This window comes from Homo sapiens, chromosome 10 (assembly GCF_000001405.40).
Source record: "Homo sapiens chromosome 10, GRCh38.p14 Primary Assembly".
NCBI lineage: Eukaryota > Metazoa > Chordata > Mammalia > Primates > Hominidae > Homo > Homo sapiens.
The window spans coordinates 97231772-97257377 of record NC_000010.11 but is presented as its reverse complement, the minus strand read 5'-3'; the positions used below and the strand labels follow the sequence as shown (position 1 = coordinate 97257377).

The following is a 25606-nucleotide window of genomic DNA, read 5'->3' as shown; positions in this document are numbered from 1 at the left end:
AGTTTGCAGCTGCAGTGAGTTATGATTGCACCACTGTACTCCAATCTGGGTAACAAAGCGAGACCCTATCTCTAAAAAAAAAAAAAAAAAAAAAAGTATTTAAAAGCAAACAGATAAAGTAACAAAGATACATGTTGAAAATGAGGGCTTTGGGATAGTAGAGTTACTGAATTACTTAAAAAAGACAGGAGAAACAAGGGAAGGGAATCAATGACAATTTTGCTGTGTTTTTTGTTTGTTTGTTTGTTTGTTTTTTTGAGACAGAGTCTTGCTTTGTCGCCCAGGCTGGAGTGCAGTGGTGCGGTCTCGGCTCACTGCAAGCTCTGCCTCCCGGGTTCATGCCATTCTCCTGCCTCAGCCTCCCGAGTAGCTGGGACTACAGGCGCCCGCCACCACGCCCGGCTAATTTTTTGTATTTTTGGTAGAGACGGTGTTTCACTGTGTTAGCCAGGATGGTCTCAATCTCCTGACCTCGTGATCTGCCCGCCTTGGCCTCCCAAAGTGCTGGGATTACAGGCATGAGCCACCACGCCCGGTAATTTTACTGTGTTTTTAAGAAACAGATGTCACCTTTGGTATCAGTAGTGACCATTCTTTTTTGTCTTTGGAGAAACTCTAGTTTTCTAAAGAGGCAGTGGTGTCCTTGATAGCTGGAACAGATTCTGTTTTTTTCTGCCCATTTTGAATCCTAGACTAGATTTTCCTTGCCAATTTTGTTTACATGTCTAATTTTCAAGCAGAATTAGGAAATGAAAATGGTTTTCAAGGATTTCCTCGTCACTTCAGGGACACATTGTTTTTCTAGATTATGTCATATCCTGATGAACCAAAAAGTCTTCCCAGAATTAAACATTGTATTAGAGGCACCTAGGCTAGGGATAGAAACTTCATACATTTGAAAGAACAGGCTTATTGGTAAGTACTACTTTCTAGCTCTTAATGTCCATTGTTTGGTTTCTTTTCCTCTGAATAGGTCACTGCAAATGACCTTCAGGAGAATATCACAAAGTTAAACAGTGGGATGGCTTTTATGATTAAACACTCCCAGAAACTTTTTAAGGTAGGTAAGGGATAGCATTTGGCTGGTAACAGGACAAAGAAAATGGAGCAAGGTGGGATCCTAAGTGGGGCTATAAAGATAACTAAACGAGAAAAAGGTCCTGAATGGGATTGCAAACCAGAATGGACAGTGGCAAAACCCAGGGGGTAACAACCACTATGGTGGAAAGGAGTAGGAATAGGAGGCTGAGTAGGGCTGGGTCCTCTGGGTAACTGACTCCACCCTCTGAGCCATTCTTCCTTTTTCACAAAGGCAGCACACGTGGCAGCTAGGTAGTTTTATCCTGCCTGCTTACTGCCAGTAGAGTTTTGGGGGTCTGCCAGTAGAATTTTGGGGGTCATTTTGTACTCTTTGGCCCTTTCAATCCAAACAGGCTGTATTTCTGCTGACATAATTTTCTAAGAACTTTGTAGGTCTTCTGTGGATTTCATTGAGATTCATTCTATTAGACAAAGGCCACATATACAAATCTTTTGAAGATAAATCTTTCCCTACCTTGGTCACCTGCTGAGAAACCTAAGGGACAGTACCTTTAAGCTTCCTAAAGGCTTTCTGGTTTAATTGAGAGGATCTGTGAGGTACGCTCTTACTCTCTTGAAAGGGCCCTTTGTATGATTGAATACTCTGACCTTTTGATGTTTCTAAGGTTTTAGCAAAACGTAGCACAGTCACATCCTTGACCTTTTCTTTAGTGTATACTTCCTTGATAGTGAATCTCTTAATTTTAGCATCTTTTTTTTTCAGACAAGGTCTCACTCTGTCGCCCAGGCTGGAGTGCATTGGTACAGTCTTGGCTCACTGCAGCCTCAACCTTCTGGGATCAAGTGATGCTCCCGCCTCAGCCTCCCCAGTAGCTGGGACCACAGGCATACACTGCCACGCCTGGCTGATTTTTTGTATTTTTTTGTAGAGACAGGGTTTCAACGTGTTGCCCAGGCTGGTCTTGAACTCCTGGGTTCAATCCTTCTGCCACAGCCTCCCAAAGTGCTGGGATTACAGGCGTGTGCCAATTTTAGCATCTTTTGCCATCTGGAGAGGCTGAAAGTTTCCAAGATCATCCAGTTCTGGTTTCTTTTTTTCTTGCAGTAAAATGCTTATAAAATTTGCCATCTTAACCATTTTTAAGCGTACAGTTCTGTGGCATTAAGTACATTCACGTTGTTGTGTAGCCATCATCGCCATCCATTTCCAGAACTCTTCATCTTGCAAAATTGAAACTCTGTACCCATTAAACAGTAACTCCGTAAAACCCTCCTCCCATCCTTGGCAACCACCATTCTACCTTCCATCTCTATGAATTTGACTACTCTGAGTACCTCATGTAAGTGGACTCATACGGTATTTGTCTTTCTGTGACTGCCTTATTTATACTTAGCATAGTGTGCTCAAGGTTCATCCACACAGTAGCATGTGACAGGATTTCCTTCCTTTTTAAGGGTGCGTAGTATTCCACTGTGTGTATATACCACATTTTGCTTATCTGTTCATCAGTTGATGGATATCCCTTTATATTCCAGATATCATCCTTTATCAGCTATATGGACAAATATTTTCTCCTATTCTGTGGGTTGCCTTTTTACTTTGTTGATAGTGTGTTTTGATGTGCAAATTTAAAAAAATTTTATGAAGTCTAATTTGTCAATTTTTTCTCTTGTTGCCTGTGCCTTTGGTGTCATATCCAAGAAATCACTGCCACATCCATTGTCATGAAGCTTTTGCCTTATGTTTTCTTCTAAAAGTTTTTATAGTTTTAGGTCTTATGTTTATGTCTTTGACCCATTTTGAGTTAAGTTTTGTTTCTGGTGTTAGGTAAGGGTCCAACCTCATTCTTTTGCATGTGGTTTCATGGTTTTCCCAGCACCATTTGTTGAAGAAACTGTCCTTTCTCCATTGGTCTTGGTCCTCTTATTGAAAAGCATTTGAATATATATGTAAGAGTTTATTTCTGGCTTTCTAGTCTATTCCATTGGTCTACTTATCTGACTTTATACCAGTACCATGGTGGTGTGATTAGTAAATGTTGTAAAGGTGTTGTGGTAAATTTTGAAATCAGGAAGCTCGAGTCCTCCAGGTTGGTTCTTCATTTTTAACATTGTTTTGGCTGTTGAAGATGCCTTGAGATTCCGTATGAATTTTAGGATGCATTTTCTATCTTTGCTGCAAAAAACCTCATTGGTATTTTGATGTTTCTAAGGTTGATAGGGATTGTATTGAATCTGTAGATTGCCTCGAGTAGTATTGACATCTTAGCAATCTTATCCAATAATATGAAAATGGGATACTTTTCCATTTATTTATGTTTTCTCTAATTCCTTTCAGTAGTATTTTATAGTTTTCATTATACAGTAGTTCCCTCTTATCCATGGGAGATATGTTCCAAAGCCCTGAGTACATGCCTGAAACTGTGGCTAGTACCAAACCCTATATGTATACTATGCACGAATTTCTTTTTTCTTCTTCACAGTTTCATAGATAGATTTATTCTTATAGTGGATCTTAGCAACCTCAGCATATGATTTTTTGGTAAACTTTTTATTGACACATAATATTTGTACATATTTATTGGGTACATATGATATTTTGTTACTTGGATTGAATGTGCAATGATCAAGTCAGGGTATGTAGAGTATCCATCACATTGAATAGTTGTCATTTCTATGTGTTGGGGACATTTCAAGTCCCCTCTTCTAGTTATTTTGAAATATACCATACGTTGTTGTTAACTATAGTCATGCTGCTTTGCTATTAAGTGTTAGAACATATTTCTTCTATCTCACTACATGTTTGTACCTATTGACCAACCGATCTTTACTCTCACCCCTAACACCTATCCCAGCATCTGGTAACTATTCTACTCCCTACCTCTATGAGATCAATCTTTTTTTCTTTTCTTTTCTTTTTCTCCCTCACCATGAGATGCACTTTTTTTTTTTTTTTTGAGATAGAGTTTTCACTCTGGTTACCTGTGCTGAAGTGCAGTGATGCAATCTCAGCTCACTGCAGCCTCCGTCTCCTGGGTTCAAGCGATTCTCCTGCCTCAGCCTCTCGAGTAGCTGGGATTACAGGCACGCACCACTACACTGGACTAATTTTTGTATTTTTGGTAGAGACAGGTTTTCACCATATTGGCCAGGGTGGTCTCTAACTCCTGACCGCCCGCCTCGGCCTCCCAAAGTGCTGGGATTACAGGTGTGAGCCACCGCAGCCAACCTGAGATCCACTTTTTAGGTCCTACATATGAGTGAGAACATGTGATATCTGTCTTTCTGTGCCTGGTTAATTTCACTTAATAGCCTCCGGTTCCATCCATGTTGCTGCAATTTGACAGGATTTCATTCTTTTTTTATGGCGGAATAGTATTCCATTGTGTATATACGCCACATTTTCTTTATCATTCATCCATTGATGGACACTTACGTTGATTACATATCTTTGCTATTGTGAATAGTGCTGCAATAAACATGGGGATGCAGATATTCCTTTGAAAACTGATTTTCTTCCCTTTGAATACATACCCAGTAGTGGGATTGATGTATTATATGGTAGTTCTATTTTTAGTTTTTTGAGAAGTCTTCATACTGCTTTCCATAATGGCTATACTAATTTGCATTCCCACCAACAGTGTATAAGAGTTCCCTTTTCTTCACATCCTCATCAGCATCTGTTATTTTTTATTTTTATTTATTTATTTTTTTGAGATGGAGTCTCACTCTGTCACCAGGCTGGAGTGCAGTGGCGCGATCTCAGCTCACTGCAAGCTCTGCCTCCCAGGTTCATGCCATTCTCCTGCCTCAGCCTCCCGAGTAGCTGGGACTACAGGCACCTGCCACCACGCCCGGCTAATTTTTTTTGTATTTTTAGTAGAGACGGGGTTTCACCATGTTAGCCAGGATGGTCTCGATCTCCTGACCTCATGATCCGCCCACCTCAGCCTCCCAAAATGCTGGGATTACAGGCGTGAGCCACCGCGCCCGGGCTATTTTTTTTTTTTTTGAGACAGTCTCATTCTGTCACCCAGGCTGGAGTGTGGTGGCATGATCACAGCTCACTGAGCTCAAGTGATCCTCCTACTTCAGCCTCCTGGTTAGCTGGGACCACAGGCGCATGCCACCACACCTGGCTAGTTTTTAATTTTTTGTAGAGATGAGGTCTTGCTATGTTCCTGCTTTATCATTTTTCCTAAAATTCTTCTTAACTATTACTAGTTCTGTCCTCTACTGTTATCAGTCCATCTCTTTCAGTCTGGTTTAACTCTTCCCAACACCACATCTTTTCCTAGAGATTTACAATGTATATACAGTTAAGGCCAATTTCTAATACTTGAGCAGTCCTTCTGTTGTTTCTCTATGAATTGTAAAATTCTTGTTTCTCTATAAATTTCTTGTTGTTTCTCTATGAATTGTAAAATACTTAAGAACTCAGACTTTCATGTAAGCCTATTTGTCTAAGCCTGGTGCCCTTTCTGGATATTTTTTCAGCTCATAGCATCTTTGGGGATGGTGGTTTTTGTTGTTTCTTTCCTTTTCTTCCCCTTTTCCCCTTCCCTTCCCCTTCCCTTCCCTTCTCCTTCCCTTCCCCTTCCCTTTCCTTCCCCTTCCCTTCCCCTTCCCTTCCCCTCCCCCTCCCTTCCTTTCCCCTTCCCCTTCCCTTCCCCTCCCTTTCCCCTCCTCTTCTTCCTTTTCCCTTCCCCTTCATCTTCCCCTTCCCTTCCCCTTCCCTTCCCCTTCCTTCCTTTCCCCTTCCCTTCCCCTCCCCTTCCCCTTCCCTTCCCCTCCCCTTCCCCTCCCCTTCCCCTCCCCTTCCCCTCCCCTTACCCTTCCTTTCCCCTCCCCTTCCCCTCCTCTTCTCCTTCCTTTTCCCTTCCCCTTCCCCGTCTCCTCCCCTTCCCCTTCCCTTCCCCTTCCTTTCCCTTCCCTTCCCCTTCCCTTCCCCTTCCCTTCCATTCCCCTTCCTTTCCCCTTTCCTTTCCCTCCCCCTTCCTTTCCCTTTCCCCTTCCCTTCCCCTTCCCTTCCTTTTCCCCTTCCCTTCCTTTTTCCCTTCCCTTCCCATTCCCTTCCCCTTCCCTCCCCCTTCCCTTCCCCTTCCCTTCCCCTTCCATTCCCCTTCCCCTTCCCTTTCCCCTTCCCTTCCTTTCCCTTTCCCTTCCCCTTCCCTTCCCCTTGGCTTTCCCCTTCTCTTCCCTTCCCTTCCCCTTTCTCTTCCCCTTCCCCTTCCTTTTCCCCTTCCCCTTTCCCTTCCTTCCTTATTTTCTTTCTTTTGACAGGGTCTCACTCTGCCCCCCAGGCTGGAGTGCAGTAGTGCTATCTGCTCACTGCAGCTTTGACTTCCCAGGCTCAAGCGATCCTCCCACCTCAGATTCCCAAGCAGCTGGGACAGGTGCGTGCCACCATGCCTGGCTAATTTTTCTATTATTTGTGGTGACAGGGTACTACCATGTTGCCCAGGCTGGTGTTGAACTCCTGGGCTCAAGCATTTCTCCTGCCTTGGCCTCCCAAAGTGTTGGGATTACAGGCATGAGCCACCGCTCTTGGCCTTCTTTCTTTTTTTTAAATGAAATAGAATAGATATATTCTTGTTTGGAGAAAATTTCTGTTGGTCTTAAGCTCCGTTTTATAGTTTTTCAATTTAGAAATTAAACTGGCTGGGCGTGGTGGCTCACTCCTGTAATCCCAGCACTTTGGGAGGCCAAGGCAGGTGGATCACCTGAGGTCAGGAGTTCAAGACCAGCCTAGTCAACACGGTGAAACCCCATCTCTACTACAAAAATTAGCCGGGCGTGGTGGTGGGCGCCTGTAGTCTCAGCTACTTGGAGGCTGAGGCAGGAGAATCACTTGAACCCGGGAGGCAAAGGTTGTGGTGAGCCAAGATTGCGCCATTGCACTCCAGCCTGGCGACAGAGCGAGACTCCATCTCAAAAAAAAAAAAAGAAAAAGAAATTAAACTATACATATCATGTTTTTGTCATGAGACTCTTTGAAGACCTTTATTTTGAAAAATTTCAAATATAGAGAAAAGTTAAAAGAGTAAAACAGTGAATACTCATATATAACTCTCCCCCAGTGTCAACAAATGTTATCATATTGCCATATTAGCTTTATCTCTCTCTATATATGTTCATACACTTTTTTGGCTGAATCACTAAAAGTAGTTGCAGACACCATGATACTTCATTCCTAAGTACTTATGTATGCATCTCCCAATAATAAACATATTCTCTTAAGAATCACACTACTGGCCGGGTGCGGTGGCTCACGCCTGTAATCCCAGCACTTTGGGAGGCTGAGGCGGGCGGATCATGAGGTCAGGAGATCGAGACCATCCTGGCTAACACGGTGAAACCCCGTCTCTACTAAAAATACAAAAAATTAGCCAGGCGCGGTGGCAGGCCCCTGGGAGAGGCTGAGGCAGGAGAATGGCGTGAACCCGGGAGGTGGAGCTTTCAGTGAGCTGAGATTATGCCACTGCACTCCAGCCTGGGCGACAGAGCCAGACTCCGTCTCAAAAAAAAAAAAAAAAAAAGAATCACACTACTATTATCACATCTAAGAAACTAAAAAGAATTTCTTATCAACTAGCTTTCAGTACATATTCAAATTCCCCAGCTGTCCTAAGAATGTATTTCATACTTTTTTTCAATATAGGCCAATCAAAGCTTCTGTACTGGTTTTAATTATTATGACACTTTTAATCTACACACTCATGCTTTTTCTTCATGTCATTTATTGAAGCATCAAGTTAACTGTGTTGTAGAATGTCTCACATTCTAAGTTTGTCTTATTGTTTTCTCAAGTTATTTAACTTGTTCCTCTATCACCTTCCATGTAGTTCCTGTAAAGTAGAAGCCAGGTCTACAGTCTTAATCAGATTCAGATTAAGCATTTTTGGCAAAGATACTTCACAGGTGATGTTTGTGTGCGTCACATTGCCTCACATGAGGAGACACAGATTGTTTGATTTTCTCTCTTCATGATGTTAATTTTGCTAACTGCCAGATCTTTCAGTTACAAAGGTAAATTTTTTTCCCCTTTGCGGTTAGTAAATAACCTGTAGAGTGATTACCTAATAATGGTTTTAGCATCCGTTGATAATCCTGCTGGAATCTATTGGGTATTAAAAATAAAGATTTTCTAATTTTGTCATTTAGCCTTTATAAGCTGAGTTTCTTCTTTGGAGAATAGCTTTTCTTTGTCTCATTCTCTCTCCCTTTAAAAATGAATATTAATATAAACTCATGGATTTTTATTTTTCCAAAGTGTTAGTCAATTTTACTTATAATGTTGATATTCTCCTGGGCAATGTGGCAAAACCCCATCTCTATGAAAAATACAAAAAATTAGCCGGGCGTGATGGCACACTCCTGTGGTCCCAGCTACTCAGAGGCTACGGTGGTAGGATGGCTTGAGCCCGGGAGGTGGAGGTTGCACTGAGCCGAGATTATGCCACTGCACTCCAGCCTGGGTGACAGAGTGAGACCCTGTCACAAACAAACAAACAAACAAAATTGATATTTAAATTATCCCAGATTTGGCCGGTGATAGCCCTTGTTAACCGGCTTCTACATCTTTTTGACAGGACTGTATTGTCTTTGAGTGTTTCCTTTCTGGTATAAAATGTTCCCAGCTCACTTTGTACTTGCGCTGGCCTAGATCGGAGTAATTATTTCTCCAGGGAACCTTGGCTTCTGAGTGATACTAGGTATATTCATTGTTTCTGGTGTGTCATTGCTTCTAGGCTGCTTGAGGGCAAAGAAATAGATTAAAACATTTTTTTAAAGCAATTGTAAGTTCATATTAATACCACCAATTCAGATTTAATACTACGCAACTTTTTCTTGGCTTCTTGTATTTTGTATTTGTATTTCTTTTTTTCTTATATTACAAATTTCAGATTTTTTTTTTCTTGTTTTGGAGATTTTCACTCTGTCACCCAGGCTGGAGTGCAGTAGCACGATCTGGGCTCACAGCAGCCTCTGCCTCCTGGGACCAGTCGATCCTCCCACCTCAGCCTCTCGAGTAGCTGGGTCTACAGGTGAGCGCCACCACACCCGGCTAATTTTTGTATTTTTTGTAGAGATGGGTCTCACCATGTTGCCCAGGCTGGTCTCAAACTCCTGGGCTCAAGTGATCTACCCGCTTTGGCCTCCCAAAGGCGGGGTGAAACCCCGTCTCTACAAAAGTACAAAAATTAGCCGGGCATGATGGTGGGTGCTTGTAATCCCAGCTACTTGGGAGGCTGAGGCGGAAGAATCACTTGAACCTGGGAGGCGGAGGTTGCAGTGAGCCGAGATCATGCCATTGCACTCCAACCTGGGCGAGAGAGTGAGACTCCGTCTCAAAAAAAAAAAAAAAAAGTCAAAACCACATTAAAAGATATACTTAGAGAAATCTCAATCCTTTCTAATTATTTTCATTGTTTTCTGGGTTATCCTGTTAGTGTTTCTTTTTATAAAAACAAGTAAATGTACATTTGTGTGTATATTCCTATTTCCTGGTTTTTTCTTACACAAATATACATTTACTTCACTTTTCTCACTCAACAGTAGATCCTAGAAATCCTTCCATATCAATTCATTAAGTGTTTCTTCCTTCTCTCCATCCTTTCTTTTTCTCTCCCTCCCTTCCTTTCCTTTCTTTCCCTCTGTTCCTTCCTTTCTTTCCCTCCCTGCCTCCTCTCCCTTCCTTTCTTCATAGTACTGTATTGTATGGATGTATGAAAGTTGATTCAACCAGTTCTCTATTAAAGAACATTTGGGTTGTATCCAATTTTTTGATTAATCTTATACGAGTGTGTTTTGCATTTCTGAAGTTACATACTCAGGATATGTTACCAGTAGTGAGGTTTCTGGGTAAAAGGGTAAGTGCAAATGTAATTTTATTAGATGTTACAAACCCAGTTTTCCTCTATGGTAGTTGTATTATTTTGCACATCTACTAAGACAGTATCAGGGTAGTTGTCACAGGATTCTAGTCCATAGTAATTCTAAATGGTATTTCTTTCTTTCTTTTTTGAGACAGGGTCTTGCTCTGTTGCCTAGGCTGGAGTGCAGTGGTATGAACATGGCTCACTGCAGCCTTGAACTTCTGGGCTCAAGTGATTCTCCCCCTTAGCCTTCTGAGTAGCTGGGACCACAGGCATGCACCACCATGCCCGGCTAATTTTTTTGTAATTTTTTTTTTTTTGAGATGGAGTTTCGCTCTTGTTGCCCAGGCTGGAGTGCAATGGTGTGATCTTGGCACACTGCAACCTCTGTCTCCTGGGTTCAAGCGATTCTCCTGCCTCAGTCTCCTGAGTACCTGGGATTACAGGCATACGCCACCACACCCGGCTAATTTTGTATTTTTAGTAGAGATGGGGTTTCACCATGTTGGTCAGGCTGGTCTCGAACTCCTGACTTCAGGTGATCCACCCACCTTGGCCTCCCATAGTGCTGGGATTACAGGCATGAGCCACCGTGCTGGCCATTTTTTAGTAATTTTTTGTAGAGTTGGGGGTCTCCCTGTGTTGCCCAGGCTGGTCTCAAACTCCTGGAGTGAAGCCATCCTCCTGCTTCTGCCTCCCAAAGTGCTGAGATTACAGACATTAAATGATATTTTCTACACTGTGATTTTAAAATGTGATCTGGAGACCACTTATAATTTGTAAGGATTTGAGGGGGTGGTTTTTGTTAGATAGAAACATTCCTACAAATGTCTATGTTTTTGTCTTTGGCTTATTTGAGTATATACATGCCATGTTTGATTTTTAAAGTGGCAACAACTACATTGGTGTCTTCTCACAGTTTTTCCATCAGATTTGTTGAGGTATCTATTTGGTGGCAAGAGAAAGGAAGCTATGGAGGGGCTATGAATTTTGAGGATCTTTGGCTTTTTAAAAGTAATCTGCTGGTCAAATGATTTTGAGAACCACTGTCCTTGCGGCCTGAAAGAATGTTATATTCTACTAATCACTGGGTTTTGGTTTTCTTTTATGTCCTGCCCAGGCTCCTGCTTACATTCGGGAGTGTGCGAGATTGCACTATTTGGGATCCAGAACTCAGGCATCAAAGGTAAGAATAGGAATCTGCTCTTAACCCAAACAAGGAGAGCATTAAGATTTGTGGAGTCTTAAAACAAAGTATGAAGTCAAAGTAAAAGCATGGAAAATAATAAGTTTTAGTATTATAGCTCAAAATTACTTAGTCATTTTGCCATAATGAAGAAGACTAAGAAGTAAGTTATGTATTAGAATACAAATGCTCCACATGTGAGGTATGGTAACTCAGGCCTGTAATCTCAGTGACTCTGGAGGCTGAGATGGGAGAATTCAAGTCTACAGTGAGCTGATTGTGCCACTGCACTCCAGCCTGGGTAACACAGCGAGACCCTGTCTCTTGAAAAAAAAAGTGCCTCCCCCCCACAATTTTTATTTGCTTTCAGAGGTTCTCCACTGATAGATGGTGTCCTCTGTGTAAGAGTGATGACACAGACCCTGTGTTTCAAGGTTTTTCATAAAGTCCTTCTGATAGAAATAATCTGTGAATAGCAAATGTGTTACATATTTTATAGGAACGAAAGGACAATTTTATGTAATTCATTCCTATTTTAGGTTCATTGGTATGGCAAAACTCTATCAAATGGCTAAAAGACTTGAGACCACATGAGCTTAGATAGATAGGGAAATGTATAATGCTTATTCACAAGATCAGATATGATAATGATGATTTTTTTTTTTTTTTTTTTTTTGAGATAGGGTTTCGCTCTGTTGGGTAGGCTGGAGTGCAGTGGCATGATCTTGGCTCCCTGGTTCTCTCACCTCAGCCTCCTGAGTAGCTGGGGACTACAGGCATGCACCACCATGCCCGCTAATTTTTGTATTTTTGGTAGAGATGGGGTTTCACCATGTTGCCCAGGTCTCAAACTCCTGGGCTCAAGTAGTCCGACTGCCTCAGCCTCCCAAAGTGCTGGGATTACAGGCGTGATCCACCACATCCAGCCTAGATATGAGTATTGAGTTTTAAAAGTAAGAAGTTATGGCCGAGTGTGGTGGCTCATGCCTGTAATCCTAGCACTTTCAGAGGCCAAGGTAGGCGGATCACTTGAGATCAGGAGTTTGAGACCAGCTTGGGCAACATGGCCAAACCCAGTCTCTACCAAAAATGCAAAAAATTAGCCAGATGTGGTGGCACGTACCTGTAGTCTCAGCTACTCGGGAGGCTGAGGTGGGCGGATCACTTGAGCTCAGGAGGCGGAGGTTGCAGTGAGCCAAGATGGTGACACTGTACTCCAGTCTGGGTGACAGAGTGAGACCCCATCTCAAAAAAATGAAAAAAGAAGTTAGGCACTTGACCTTTATGTGCCTGCTTGGGTCTCTTCCAAGCATACTTTCCTTTCTTTCCTGTTCTAAGCCTTTTTAAATAAACTTCCACTCCTGCTCTGAAAAAAAAAAAAAAAAAGTGAGAAGTTAAAAATTTTACAAGCACTTTTTGAGTGCTTAAAATTTTCAAGTTCTGTTCATCCTGTCTTGGTTAGAAACTTAAGCTGTCCGCTTGTGCAATTTTTTCTGCTCCTATTTGTTTCTCCCTCTTATTCAGCAAATATTCATTGTTACCAGGAAAACAGTATTTGGTTTCAACTAGTTTAACTGGAGTGTGGTTTTTGTTAGAGAGCTGTTTTTGTTCCTCTAGCACTGCTGTCTAGTTGTCGTATTAAGTTGCCATGTGTGGGAAGGAGTATTAGCCAAGAGTCAGAGCCCTTGGGCTCCCAGGTGGGTCTGTCACTTTAGTATCCAGATGACTTTAAACTTACAGTTTAACCTCAGTTTTTTTCCTCTGTCAGATGGGAATCATGATACTTTCCATGCTTACCTTGTTGAATTGTTGAATAAATTAATGAAATTAAAAGATGCTTTAAAAACTAAACTCTTACACAAATATAACTCTTGGTGGCAGTATTCCAAATGCACTTAGGTTCTCTGGGCAGGTCATGGGAGTGGGCTATTAATATAACCTATATTAATAGGTTCCTTGTTATCTGATAATAGTGTTAAGATTTTTCTTGTTCCTGAGTATAGGAGTATACCATGTCCCCACTCTCCCTTTTTTTGTTCCAGGTTTTTGTAAGAACCCCAAAACAAAGTTGGCAGGATATATTAATTTACTCTTCTTTTAAATTTTCCTTAGGATGACCTTGACCTCATAGCTTCATGTCATACTAAGTCCTTTCAGCTGGCAAAGTCTCAGAAACGGAACCGGGTAGATTCCTGCCCTCACCAGGAGGAGACCCAGCACCATACGGAAGAGGCACTGAGAGAGCTGTTTCAACACGTTCATGATATGCCAGAGTCAGCAAAGAAGAAACAACTTATTAGACAGGTGCCTAAAGGCAGGGAAGTTGTGATGGGGCTTTAGGAGTGTAATCGTGGTTGTAGAATCAGTAGGTCATATTGTTAAGAATCTCATTTAATTTTTGGTTCAGCTGAGAAATCAGGCTTGTCTATGGAATCTCCACAGTGATCTCTGTGCCATTGCTCCACTACAGAAGGGAGTGGAGTCTCTTGATTTCTAGTTAAGCAGGAGGATCCAAGTGTGGTTAGAGAGTCTCTCATTTTGGTCATGTCCCAAGTTTGCTGAGAGATAACCAGCAGTTAAAACATATTGTTCCGAAGTTTAAACCCTCCAGATTTTCTTAGCAAATAACTTTTCTGAATTTCAGTTTTGTTTGTAAAATGGTAATAGTAACAGCAATGTTTCAAAGTTGTAAAAATTAGAGATAATCTGTGTAGAGTGGCTGGCATAGCAAAGTCTAAGTGGTAACTTTTTACTAACAGAGTTGTTTGCAGTTAGAGAACACAATAAATCAGGACCCTAGTCTGATACTAGAAAGTAGGAATTCTGGTGGCTAAGTTTGTTTATGCTGGAGCTGTGGGAACAAATTTGCTATTTTGGGACTCAAAGTGTGGTTTAAGTTAGTTCTGTGACTTTGGGTAGTTTCTTTCTCAAGATTAATTTTGTCTCAATCCCTCTTGAATTTTACCTGAGCAGGCAGGGTCAGCCTCTTGACTTTTATTCAACTGGGACTTCCTTGGGGGAAGAGTCTGTTTTTACTTATTTTATACCTACTCTCAGCATAAGGCCAGGTATAAACAAGTACTCAGATAATGGTGAACTGAGCTGTTCTTAAGAATTAACAAAGTCATTTAAGAGAAGTTTCTGCCATCTCTTTGAAATTACTTTGAGATCTAGCAAATTGTGTTACAACTGGAATTTTACAGGGTGTTGGCTGAGTATTGCTGCAGATTCAAACCAGTCTAGTGATTTAATTCTTGATAGAAACTAAGTAGTTTCATGTAGGACAGGTATAATGACTTCTTTCAACAAGAACACTGATACCGGCTGGGCGCGGTGGCTCACACCTGTAATCCCAGCACTTTGGGAGGCCTAGGCGGGTGGATCACCTGAGATCGGGAGTTCGAGGCCAGCCTGACCAACATGGAGAAACCCCGTCTCTACTAAAAATACAAAATTAGGGCCGGGCATGGTGGCTCACGCCTGTAATCCCAGCACTTTGGGAGGATGAGGTAAGCAGATCACCTGAGGTCAGGAGTTTGAGACCAGCCTGACTAACATGGAGAAACCTAGTCTCTACTAAAAATGCAAAAAATCAGCTGAGTGTGGTGGCACATGCTTGTAATCCCAGCTACTCGGGAGGCTGAGGCAGGAGAATTGCTTGAACCCAGGAGGTAGAGGTTGTGGTGAGCCGAGATCATGCCATTGCACTCCAGCCTGGTCAACAAGAGTGAAACTCCGTCTCAAAAAACAAAACAAAACAAAACAAAAAAATTAGCCGGGTGTGGTGGCACATGCCTATAATCCCAGCTATTCCGGAGGCTGAGGCAGGAGAATTGCTTGAGCCCGGGAGGTGGAGGTTGCGGTGAGCTGAGATCGTGCTATTGCACTCCAGCCTGGGCAACAAGAGCGAAACCCCGTCTCAAAAAAAAAAAAAAAAAAAAAAAAAAGAACACTGATACTTAAAGATAAAAAAGAAAAAAACGTTTTGCACTTTTTAGAAAAACAGAAAATTATAGAGAAGGATAAGAAGAAAGCAAATCACTCTTCCTGCCAGTGTTTATGTTGTGGGCATTTCTTTTGGTCTTTTTCCTCTGGATATCTTTTTACATAGTTATGATCATATCATATACTTTAAAATTTTTTCCTTTTTTCACTAAACATGACAGTCTAAGCATTTCTTATGCATGCATGCAGACTCCTTCCATACATTTTATTTTTTATTTATTTATTAATTATTATTATTATTATTTTTTTTTTTTTTTGAGGCAGAGTCTCACTCTGTCGCCCAGGCTGGAATGCAGTGGCGCAATCTCCACTCACTGCAAGCTCCGCCTCCTGGGTTCACGCCATTCTCCTGCCTCAGCCTCCTGAGTAGCTGGGACTACAGGTGCCCGCCACCATGCCCGGCTAATTTTTTTGTATTTTTAGTAGAAACGGGGTTTCACCGTGTTAGCCAGGATGGTCTTGATCTCCTAACCTTGTGATCCGCCCACCTCGGCCTCCCAAAGTGCTGGGATTATAGGCTTGAGCCACTGCACCCGGCCTATTTTTATTTTTTTGAGACAGAGTCTCGCTCTGTTGCCCAGGCTGGAGTGCAGTGGTGCGATCTCGGCTCACTGCCACCTCTGCCTCCTGGGTTCAAGCAATCCTCCTGCCTCAGCCTGCTGAATAGCTAGGACTACATGCATGTGTCACAACGCCTGACTAATTTTGCATTTTTAGTAAAGATGGAGTTTCACCATGTTGGCCAGGCTGGTCTTGAACTCCTGACCTCAAGTGATCACCTGCCTCGGCCTCCCAAAGTTCTGGGATTACAGGTGTGAGCCACCGCACCTGGCCATCCTTCCATATGTTTTAAATACTCTATCTTTCTTTTTTTTAAAGATGGAGTCTCGCTCTGTTGCCCAGGCTGGAGTGTAGATGTAAGGGCTCAAATATGATCTTAAGTAAATATGATCTTAAGTAAAAGATCATATTTGAGTATAGTGGCTCAATCTCAGCTCACTGCAACCTCCGCCTCCTGGGTTCAAGCAATTCTCCTGCTTCAGCCTCCCCCGAGTAGCTGGGATTACAGGCATGCGCCACCATGCCCGGCTAATGTTTTTGTATTTTTAGTAGAGATGGGGTTTCACCATGTTTGTCAGGCTGTTCTTGAACTCCTGACCCCAAATGATCCACCTGCCTTGGCCTCCCAAAGTGCTGGTATTACAGGCGTGAGCCACCGCACCCAGCCTGCTGTATCTTTTTGAAGAAACTATAATTTTATTGTTTTCTAATTTTTTCTCCATGATTATAAAAATTATACATGCTCACTATAGAAACATTGAAACCCGCAGAAGTGTGTAAAGAAGAACATAAAAATCACCTACACACATCCAGAGGTAACCACTGATAACATTTTAGAGTATTTCCTCCTAGTGTTTCTCTCCATGAATATATGTTTCACATTGTTTTCGTTTACTTAAGATCATATTTGAGCCCTTACATCTGGGCCAAAAGAAAAAATCATAATGTATATTGTTTTATATTCTACCCTTTTCATTTAACTTTATATTACAAACATTTCTCATGTTATTAAAAGGCTACGAACATTTTAAATGTTTACATAATATTCTTTATTTGAGACAGAGTTCTGCTCTGTCGCCTAGGCTGGAGTGCAGTGGCGTGATCTCGCCTGACTGCAGCCTCCACCTCCTGGGCTCAAGCAATTCTCCTGCCTCAACCTCCCGAGTAACTGAGATTATAGTGGAGCACCACCATGCCTGGCTAATTTTGTATTTTTAGTAGAGACGGGATTATGCCATATTGGCCAGGCTGGTCTTGAACTCCTCGCCTCAGGTGATCTGCCTGCCTTGGGCTCCCAAAGTGTTGGGATTACAGGCATGAGTCACCATGCCCAACCTTAAATGTTTATATAATATTCTATTCTGTGTAACCAAATTTATACATAATTTGCCTACTACTGGGCATATTTGGGAATTAGGTTTTTAGTTTATAAATTTTTGTTCATAAGTATTTTCATTGTAGATTATTTTCTAGAAGTGGCATGATAAACGAATATGCATTATTTTTTTGGCTGCTACGTGTACTAGGTCCCTTTTAATAGATAAGTGCCTCTTTTTCTCCCTTTCTTCTTTTTTTTTTCCCCCTTAAAACATTGCCAGTTTGCTTAAATAAACTTTAAAATAAAAACTGGGTAAGTACCCTTTACCCAATTCCCCCTAATATTAACATTATAAAAACTAAGAAATTAACATTAGTACAGGGCCGAGCAGGGTGGCTCATGCCTGTAACCCCAGCACTTTAGGAGGCTGAGGCAGGCCGGTCACCTGAGGTCGGGAGTTCGAGACGAGCCTGACCAACATGGAGAAACCCCGTCTCTACTAAAAATACAAAATTAGCCAGGCATGGTGGCTCAGGCCTGTAATCCCAGCTACTCGGGAGGCTGAGGCAGGAGAATCACTTGAACCAGGGAGGCAGAGGTTGCTGTGAGCCGAGGTCATGCCATTGCACTCCAGCCTGGGCAACAAGAGTGAAACTCATGTCAAAAAAAAAAGAAAACAAAAAATTGGTACATTACTTACTAACATTACAGATTTTACTTTTTTTTCCCCTAATATCTTTTTTTTTGCTCCAGGATCCAATCCAGGGTGCCACACTACATTTAGACACACACACACACACACACACACACACACACACACACACACACACACACACCCTCTCTCTCTCTCTCTCACTCCCTTTTTCTTATTTTTCTTTTTTTTTTTGAGACGGAGTCTCGCTCTGTCATCAGGCTGGAGTGCAGTGGCACGATCTCCGATCTCGGCTCACTGCAATCTCCGCCTCCTGGGTTCAAGCAATTCCCCTGCCTCAGCCTCCAGAGTAGCTGGGACTACAGGCGCGTGCCACCATGCCTGGCTAATTTTTTTTTGTATTTTAGTAGAGACGGGGTTTCACCATGTTGGCCAGGATGGTCTCGTTCTCCTGACCTTGTGATCCCCCCACCTCGGCCTCCCAAAGTGTTGGGATTACAGGCGTGAGCCACCGCTCCCGGCCCACTCCCTTTTTCTTTATAGTCACGTATCACTTGATGATTGGGATATGTTCTAAGAAATGTGTTTTTAGGTGATTTCATTGTTGTGTGAACATCATAGAGTGTACTTACATAAACCTAGATGGCGTAGCTTAGTACACACCTAGGCTGTATGGTATAGCCTGTTGCTTCTGGGCTACAAACCTGTAGAGGATGTTACTGTACTGAGTACTGTAGGCAATTGTAACAATGGTAAGTATTTGTGTATCTAAACAAAGGAAAGGTACAGTAAAAATACAGTATAAAAGATAAAAAATAGTACACCTGTATAGGGCAGTTACCATGAATGGAGCTTGCAGGATTGGAAGTTACTCTAGGTGTGTCAGTAAGTGAGTGGTGAGTGAATGTGAAGACCTAGGACATTGCTGACACGACTGTAGACTTTATAATCACTGTACACTTAGGCTAGACTAAATTTATAAAATTTTTTTCTTCAATAATTAATTACCTTTAGCTTACTGTAACTTTTTTACTTTACAGACTTAAAACTTTTTTAACTTTCTGACTCTTGTAATAACACTTAGCTTAAAACACAAAAACACTATGCATCTGTACAAAATATTTTCTGAATATCTTTATGCTATAAGCTTTTTTCTATTTTAAAAACTTTTAATTTGTTTGTAAATTTTAATACTTTTTAATTAAAAATTAAGACACAGGCTGGGCGTGGTAGCTCACTCCTGTAATCCCAGCACTTTGGGAGGCCAAAGTGGGAGGACTGCTTTAAGCCAGGAGTTCGAGACCACCCTGGGCAGCATTGACCTTGTATCCACAAAATATTTAAAAAAATTAACTGGTCTCGTTAGTGTGTGCCTGTAGTCCTAGCTACACAGGAGGCCTCAGCCTCAGCCTCAGCAGGAAGAATCGCTTGAGCCCAGGAGTTTGGGGCTGCGGTGAGCTATGATCCGCACCACTGCACTCCAGCCTGGGCAACAGAGCGAGACCCCGTCTCTAAAAAATAAAAAAACTCCAAAACTGAAGACACAAATATACACATTAACCTAGGCCTACACAGGATCATTAATATCACTGTCTTCTGCCTCTACATCTTATTCCACTAGAAGGTCTTCAGAGGCAATATCACTCATGGAGCTGTCATCTCCTATGATAACAATGCCTTTTTCTAGAATACCTCCTGAAAGACTTGCCTGAGGCTGTTTTATAGTTAACTTTAAAAAAAAATAAGTAGGAGTGCACTCTAAAATAATGGTAAAAGGTATAAATGATGATAAAAGTATAGTATGGTAAATACATAAACCAGTAACATTATTGTTGTTTTGTTTTTTTGTTTTTTGTTTTTTTTTGGAGATAGAGTCTCGCTCTTTCGCCCAGGCTGGAGTGCAATGACGCAGACTTGGCTCACTGCAACCTCTGCCTCCCAGGTTCAAGCGATTCTCCTGCCTCAGCCTCCCGAGTAGCTGGGATTACAGGCGCCCACCACCACGCCCAGCTAATTTTTGTATTTTTAGTACAGATGAGGTTTCACCCTGTTGGCCAGGCTGGTCTTGAACTCCTGGTCTCAAGTGACCCACCTGTCTTGGCCTCCTAAAGTGTTGGGATTATAGGTGTGAGCTGCCACATCTAGCCCATTTATTATCATTATCAAGAATTATGTACTGTATATAATGGTATGTACTAGACTTTTATACAGCTTCCAGCACAGTAGGTTTGTTTATTCCAGCATCACTGCAGTCACTTGAGTAACACATTGCGCTGTGATGTTAGGACAGCAGTGATATCATGAGGTGATAGGAATTTTTCACCTCCATTATAATCTGATGGGACCTACTGTCATATACGTGGTCTGTCATTGACCAAAATGTCATTATGTGGTGCATGATTTTATCTGAACCTTATTTGTGGAAGAAACTATATTGTTTTCCGTAGACTGAGTTTTTTTTTTTTTTTTTTTGAGACAAGGTCTAGCTCTGTTGCCTAGACTGGAATGACGTGATTGATCTCAGCTCACTGCAACCTCTGCCTCCTGGGTTCAAGCCATCCTCCCACTTCAGCCTCCTGAGTAGCCGGGACTACAGGCATGTGCCACCATGCCTGGCTAATTTTTGTATTTTTTGTAGAGACAGGGTTTCGCCATGTTGCCCAGGCTGGTCATGAACTCTTGAGCTCAAGTGATCTGCTGGCTTTGGCCTCCCAAAGTGCTGAGATTACAGGCATGAGCCACCATGCTTGGCCTATATTCTGGATTTTAATGATTGCATTCCTGTAATGTTATTCAACATGTTTCACAGTCCTGTGTTCATGCTATAAACTGGTAGTTAGATCTATTTCTAGAGGCTTGATCTGATTCTAATTCAGTTTTTCAGGCTAAGAACACTTTATATGTGGTGTATTTTTTTTTTTTTTTTTTTTTTCTGAGTCTGTTGCCCAGGCTGGAGTGCAGTGGCACAATCATGGCTCACTGCAGCCTCGACCTCCCTGGGCTCAGGTGATCATGATCCTCCCACCACAGCCTCCCGAGTAGCTGAGACTACAGATGTACACCACCATGCCCGGCTAATTTTTTGTATTTTTAGTGGCATGTACTTTTTAATATGCATTTTAAAAAGGCTCTGGATACACCTTGCTAAATACCTTCCCAGAACATTTTGCCAGTTAACACTCCCTTGAGTTGGATATGAGAGAATTTACCTTATTGTACCCTTGCCACCATCAGGAAAGATGCATTTTTTACTTGTCCCAGTTTATTCAGGAGGGATACTTAACTAGCTAAGCTCTTCAGACGTGGCTAATTTTTCTGCCTGCCGAGACAATTAACTTTGAGAACCTCTTGGTACTTTTATGTAAAAGTAATTTTTTAACCTCCAGAACTTGAACTGGTAAAATTCCCAAATTTTTACAGTTCCGAAATTTTAAAAGTATAGTTAGAAAAGGCAGAAGAGGCTGGGTGTGGTGTCTCACGCCTGTAATCCTAGCACTTTGGTAGGCCGAGGTGGGCGGATCACTTGAGGTCAGGAGTTCGAGATCAGCCTGGCCAACACAGTGAAGCCCCATCTCTACTAAAAATAGAAAAAATTAGCTGGGTGTGGTGGCGCACGCCTGTAATCCCAGCTACTCGCCAGGCTGAGGCATGAGAATTGCTTGAACCTGGGAGGCGGAGGTTGCAGTGAGCCGAGATTGTGCCACTGCGCTCCAGCCTGGCAACAGAGTGAGACTCTGTCTCCAGCAACAACAGCAACATCATCAACAATCTGAAAAGGCAGAAGAGTAGAAGAGTTAAATGCTATATTATTATTACTTTTTAAGTGGGAAATGAATGGCTAATCAAAGCATTGAATAAGATTATTCAATGCATTGGGTCTTCTCGTTTTCCACTTTAGATACCTCCAGAGAGCTGATGTTGATAGCATTGACAAGTCTGCATTCTGATGTATTTCCTCTGATGGTATTGTTGTCAGGCAGTCATGATAGATGTCCATTTAAAGAGTTTTAGTAACTTAAAAAAATTCTGTATGCAATTTATGTTAAATTAGGGACTGTTTTAGATTGTGCCAGTAACTGTGTGGTTCCAAGATGCTTTGTTGCAAAAAAGTCTTGGTTAGCAGCTGGGGATCGTGGATAAATTTCATAAGCTCTCCAAGTCTCAGTTTTTTTGTCTGTAGAATGGGGACAGTAATTCCACATTCAAGGAATGTGGCGTGCAGAGCCCCTCAGAGCACTTGAATCCACTTCTTTTGGCATCATCATTTCTGACTTTGTGATTGGCTTTTTGACCTCCTAATCCATCTATGCGCAGACTCAGTTTTTCCTGGACTTTTATTTACACTTAGCTATTAGTTGTCACAGAATGCCGTGTCTTGATGGGAAAGTATTTATAAAATGTTCTCCATGTTTTCTTTTAGTTTAATAAGCAATCATTGACCCAGACACCAGGGCGAGAACCTTCTACTTCCCAGGTACAAAAGAGGGCTCGTTCGCGCTCCTTCAGTGGGCTTATTAAGGTAGGTATGCTGGGCTGTCGTTTTCAGCATTGATTTTTAGGAAATGTAACAATGTGATTTTTCTTATGCATAAAAAGTTTTCTTCTGTTTTTTGGGGACCCTATAAAGGGCTAGTTTATAAGGGGGTAAAGACAAAATGTTGAAAAGCTTTTATATTGCAAAGTGCTTTGCTGTGTTGCACATCAGAGAAGGGGCTCTGTGACGTGAGGAGTAGAAGTAAGGGTCCTTCCTTTTCTTCTGGGGCTAAGGGGCTAAGGACAGAGTCTGCATTCCTGAGCAGTGTAAGAGGCCCTTTTGTTTTCTGATCAGCTTCGAGTTACACACTTCTTTATGCAATTTGGTAAACCTGTGGAGAAGTGAGGAAGTTGAGACAGACTAGGGAAACTGTTAGAAAACTGGATTTTCCAATAGGCTAGTGAGTTTTGATACCCCAAATTTTTGTGAGCTTAATATTTTTAACAGTTGTTGTACTTTCTTCCATGTATCAAATTCAGTAAAAATCTTGTTTTTAAAACAAATACAAAATATGCTTCTATGTTATTGCTGCTATCACCATGTTTGCAGATTAAATTTATAAGTCTTCAAACTATCGGAACATGTAGTGAAGGAATATTGCCATCAGGTGGCAGTAGATAACTTGATCATGGGGTTCAAATTTCCATGCATGAACTAAGGCAAGGTTTTGGTTAACTTGGAGAGAGATGAGTGCTATATACACTGCTTTTCTTTTCTATTTTTCTTTTTTGGAAGAGATTGCTGCCCCAAAAGCACTGAGTATCTTTTTTTTTTTTTTTTTTTTTTAATTTTTATTTCTGGGTACATGTGCAGGATGTGCAGGTTTGTTATATAGGTAAATGTGTGCCATGGTGGTTTGCTGCACCTGTAAACCCATCACCTAGGTATGAAGCCCAGCATGCGTTAGCTATTTTTATTTTTTTAATTTTTTTTTGAGACAGAGTCTCGCTGTTGTCGCCCAGGCTGGAGTGCAATAACATGGTCTCGGCTCACTGCAACCTCCCCCTCTTGGGTTCAAGCGATTCTCCTGCCTCAGCTTCCCAAGTAGGTAGGATTACAAGTGCCTGCCACCATGCCCAGCTAATTTTTGCCTTTTTAGTAGAGAGGGGGTTTCACCATGTCGGCCAGGCTGGTCTGGAACTCCTGACCTCAGGTGATTCACCCGCCTCAGCCTCCCAAATTGCTGGGATTACAGGCATAAGCCATTGCGTCTGGCCAGCTACTTTTCTTAATACTCTCCTTCCCCCCACTCCACCCCCCAACAGGCCCCAGTGTGTGTTGTTCCCCTCCCTGTGTCCATGTGTTCTCATTGTTTAGCTCCCACTTTTTTTTTTTAGATGGAGTCTCTCTCTGTCACCCAGGCTGGAGTGCAGTGGCTTGATCTCAGCTCACTGCAGCCTCCGCCTCCTGGTTTCAAGCCATTTTCCTGCCTCAGCCTCCCAAGTAGCTGGGACTACAGGCGTGCGCCACCATGCCTGGCTCATTTTTGTAGTTTTAGTAGAGACGAGGTTTCACCATGTTGGCCAGGCTGGTCTCGAACTCGTGACCTCAAGTGATCCACCCGCCTTGGCCTTCCAAAGTACTGGGATTATAGGCATGAGCCACTGCACCCGGCCAGCTCCTACTCACAAGTGAGAACATGTGGTGTTTGGTTTTCTGTTCTTGTGTTAGTTTGCTGAGGATGGCTTCCTTTTGTTTTTATTTTTGGTGTTTTGCCCTGCTTTTCTTTTAAAAATTACTTTGTTATTAAGATATATAATTCCAGCAACACAGGGAGCTCTTTGCTTAAAATTTAAAATTTTTGCCCTAAAAATAAATAACTTGTAATATTTATTTATTTATTTATTTTTGAGACAGGGTCTTGCTCTGCTGCTCAGGCTGAAGTACAAGTGGCACCATCATGGCTTATTGCAGCCTTGATCTCCTGGGCGCTCAGCGATCCTCCTACTTCAGCCTCCCAAGTAGCTGGGACCACAAGTGCATGCCATCATACCTGGCTGATTTTTAAATGTTTGTAGAGATGGGGTCTTGCTGTGTTGCTGGTCTTTTTTTTTTGAGACAGTCTCGCTCTATGCCTCAGGCTGGAGTGCAGTGGCGTGATCTCAGCTCACTGCAACCTCCATCTCCAGGGTTCAAGTGATTCTTCCACCTCAGCCTCCCTAGTAGCTGGGATTACAGGCGCCCACCACCATGCCCGGCTAATTTTTTGTATTTTTAGTAGAGATGGGGTTTCACCATGTTGGCCAGCCTGGTCTTGAACTCCTGGCCTCAAGTAATCTGCCCGCTTCGGCCTCCCAAAGTGCTGAGATTATAGGCGTGAGCCACCATGCCCAGCCTGTGTTGCTGGTCTTGAATTTCTGGGCTCAAGTGATCCTCCTGCTTTGGCCCCCTGAAGTGCTGGGATTACAGATGTGAGCCACTGTGTCTGTAATTTTTTTTTTTTGAGGTACAGCTGTTAGCATTTACAAATTCATCTTACTGTAATTTTGGTCCTAGTTATAATTTATAGATATCTAGAATTCACTCTCAATCCTGACCTCCTGGGGCCAGTAGCTTCTAGGACATTAGGCTTACTTGACATCAAAATTTCCTTTGCCATCTACAGAGTGAAAAGGCAACCCTGGATTGGGAGAAAATATTTGCAAATCATATTTATGATTAGGGATTAATATCCATAATAATCTAAAGAACTCCTATAACTCAACACAGCAAAAACAACCTCATTAAAGAGTGGGCAGAGGCCGCGCACAGTGGCTCACGCCTGTAATCCCAGTACTTTGGGAGGCTGAGGTGGGCGGATCACGAGGTCAGGAGATTAAGACCATTCTGGCTAACACGGTGAAACTCCATCTCTATTAAAAATACAAAAAATTAGCCGGGCATGTTGGCATGTGCCTGTAGTCCCAGCTACTCAGGAGGCTGAGGCAGGAGAATCGTTTGAACCCAGGAGGCAGAGGTTGCAGTGAGCCGAGATTGAGCCACTGTACTCCAGCCTGGGTGACAGAGCGAGACTCTGTCTCAAAAAAAAAAAAAAAAAAAAAAAAAAATAGTGAGCAAAGGACTTAAATAGAAATTTCTCCAGAGAAGATGTACAGATGGCCAAGAAACACATGAAAAGATGTTCAACATCACTAATCATTAGGGAAATGTAAATCAAAACCACAATTAGATACCACTTCACACCCACTAGGATGACTATTATTAAAAAAAAAAAAAAAAAAACAACGGAAAATAACAAATGTTGATGAGGATGTGGAGAATTTGGAACCCCTATGCATTATTGATAGGGATGTAAAATGGAGGAGCCACTGTGGAAAACAGTATGGCAGTTCCTAAAAAATTTAAATAGAATGACCTTGTGATCCAGCAATGCTACTCCCGGTATATAACCAAAAGAATTGAAAGCAGGGTCTTGAGGCAATATTTGTAC

General features: G+C 42.1%; 1 protein-coding gene and 1 long non-coding RNA gene across 4 annotated transcripts in view; both read left to right on the top strand.

Annotated features, from left to right (window-relative positions):
• ARHGAP19-SLIT1 (ARHGAP19-SLIT1 readthrough (NMD candidate)) overlaps positions 1-25606 on the top strand; it is a 139632-nt gene that overhangs the window by 35296 nt on the left and 78730 nt on the right. The window contains exons 6-9 of the long non-coding RNA NR_037909.1: positions 974-1060; positions 11041-11106; positions 13219-13410; positions 22063-22161. This is a non-coding gene — a long non-coding RNA (ARHGAP19-SLIT1 readthrough (NMD candidate)). The remainder of the gene's footprint in view (positions 1-973; positions 1061-11040; positions 11107-13218; positions 13411-22062; positions 22162-25606) is intronic.
• Positions 1-25606, top strand: part of ARHGAP19 (Rho GTPase activating protein 19) — a 70459-nt gene that overhangs the window by 35260 nt on the left and 9593 nt on the right. For 2 of the 3 annotated variants that reach the window (NM_032900.6, NM_001256423.2), the window contains exons 6-9: positions 974-1060; positions 11041-11106; positions 13219-13410; positions 22063-22161. In NM_032900.6, the coding sequence (NP_116289.4) occupies positions 974-1060; positions 11041-11106; positions 13219-13410; positions 22063-22161 (444 nt within the window). The remainder of the gene's footprint in view (positions 1-973; positions 1061-11040; positions 11107-13218; positions 13411-22062; positions 22162-25606) is intronic. The other variant, NM_001204300.2, reaches the window with a different exon arrangement.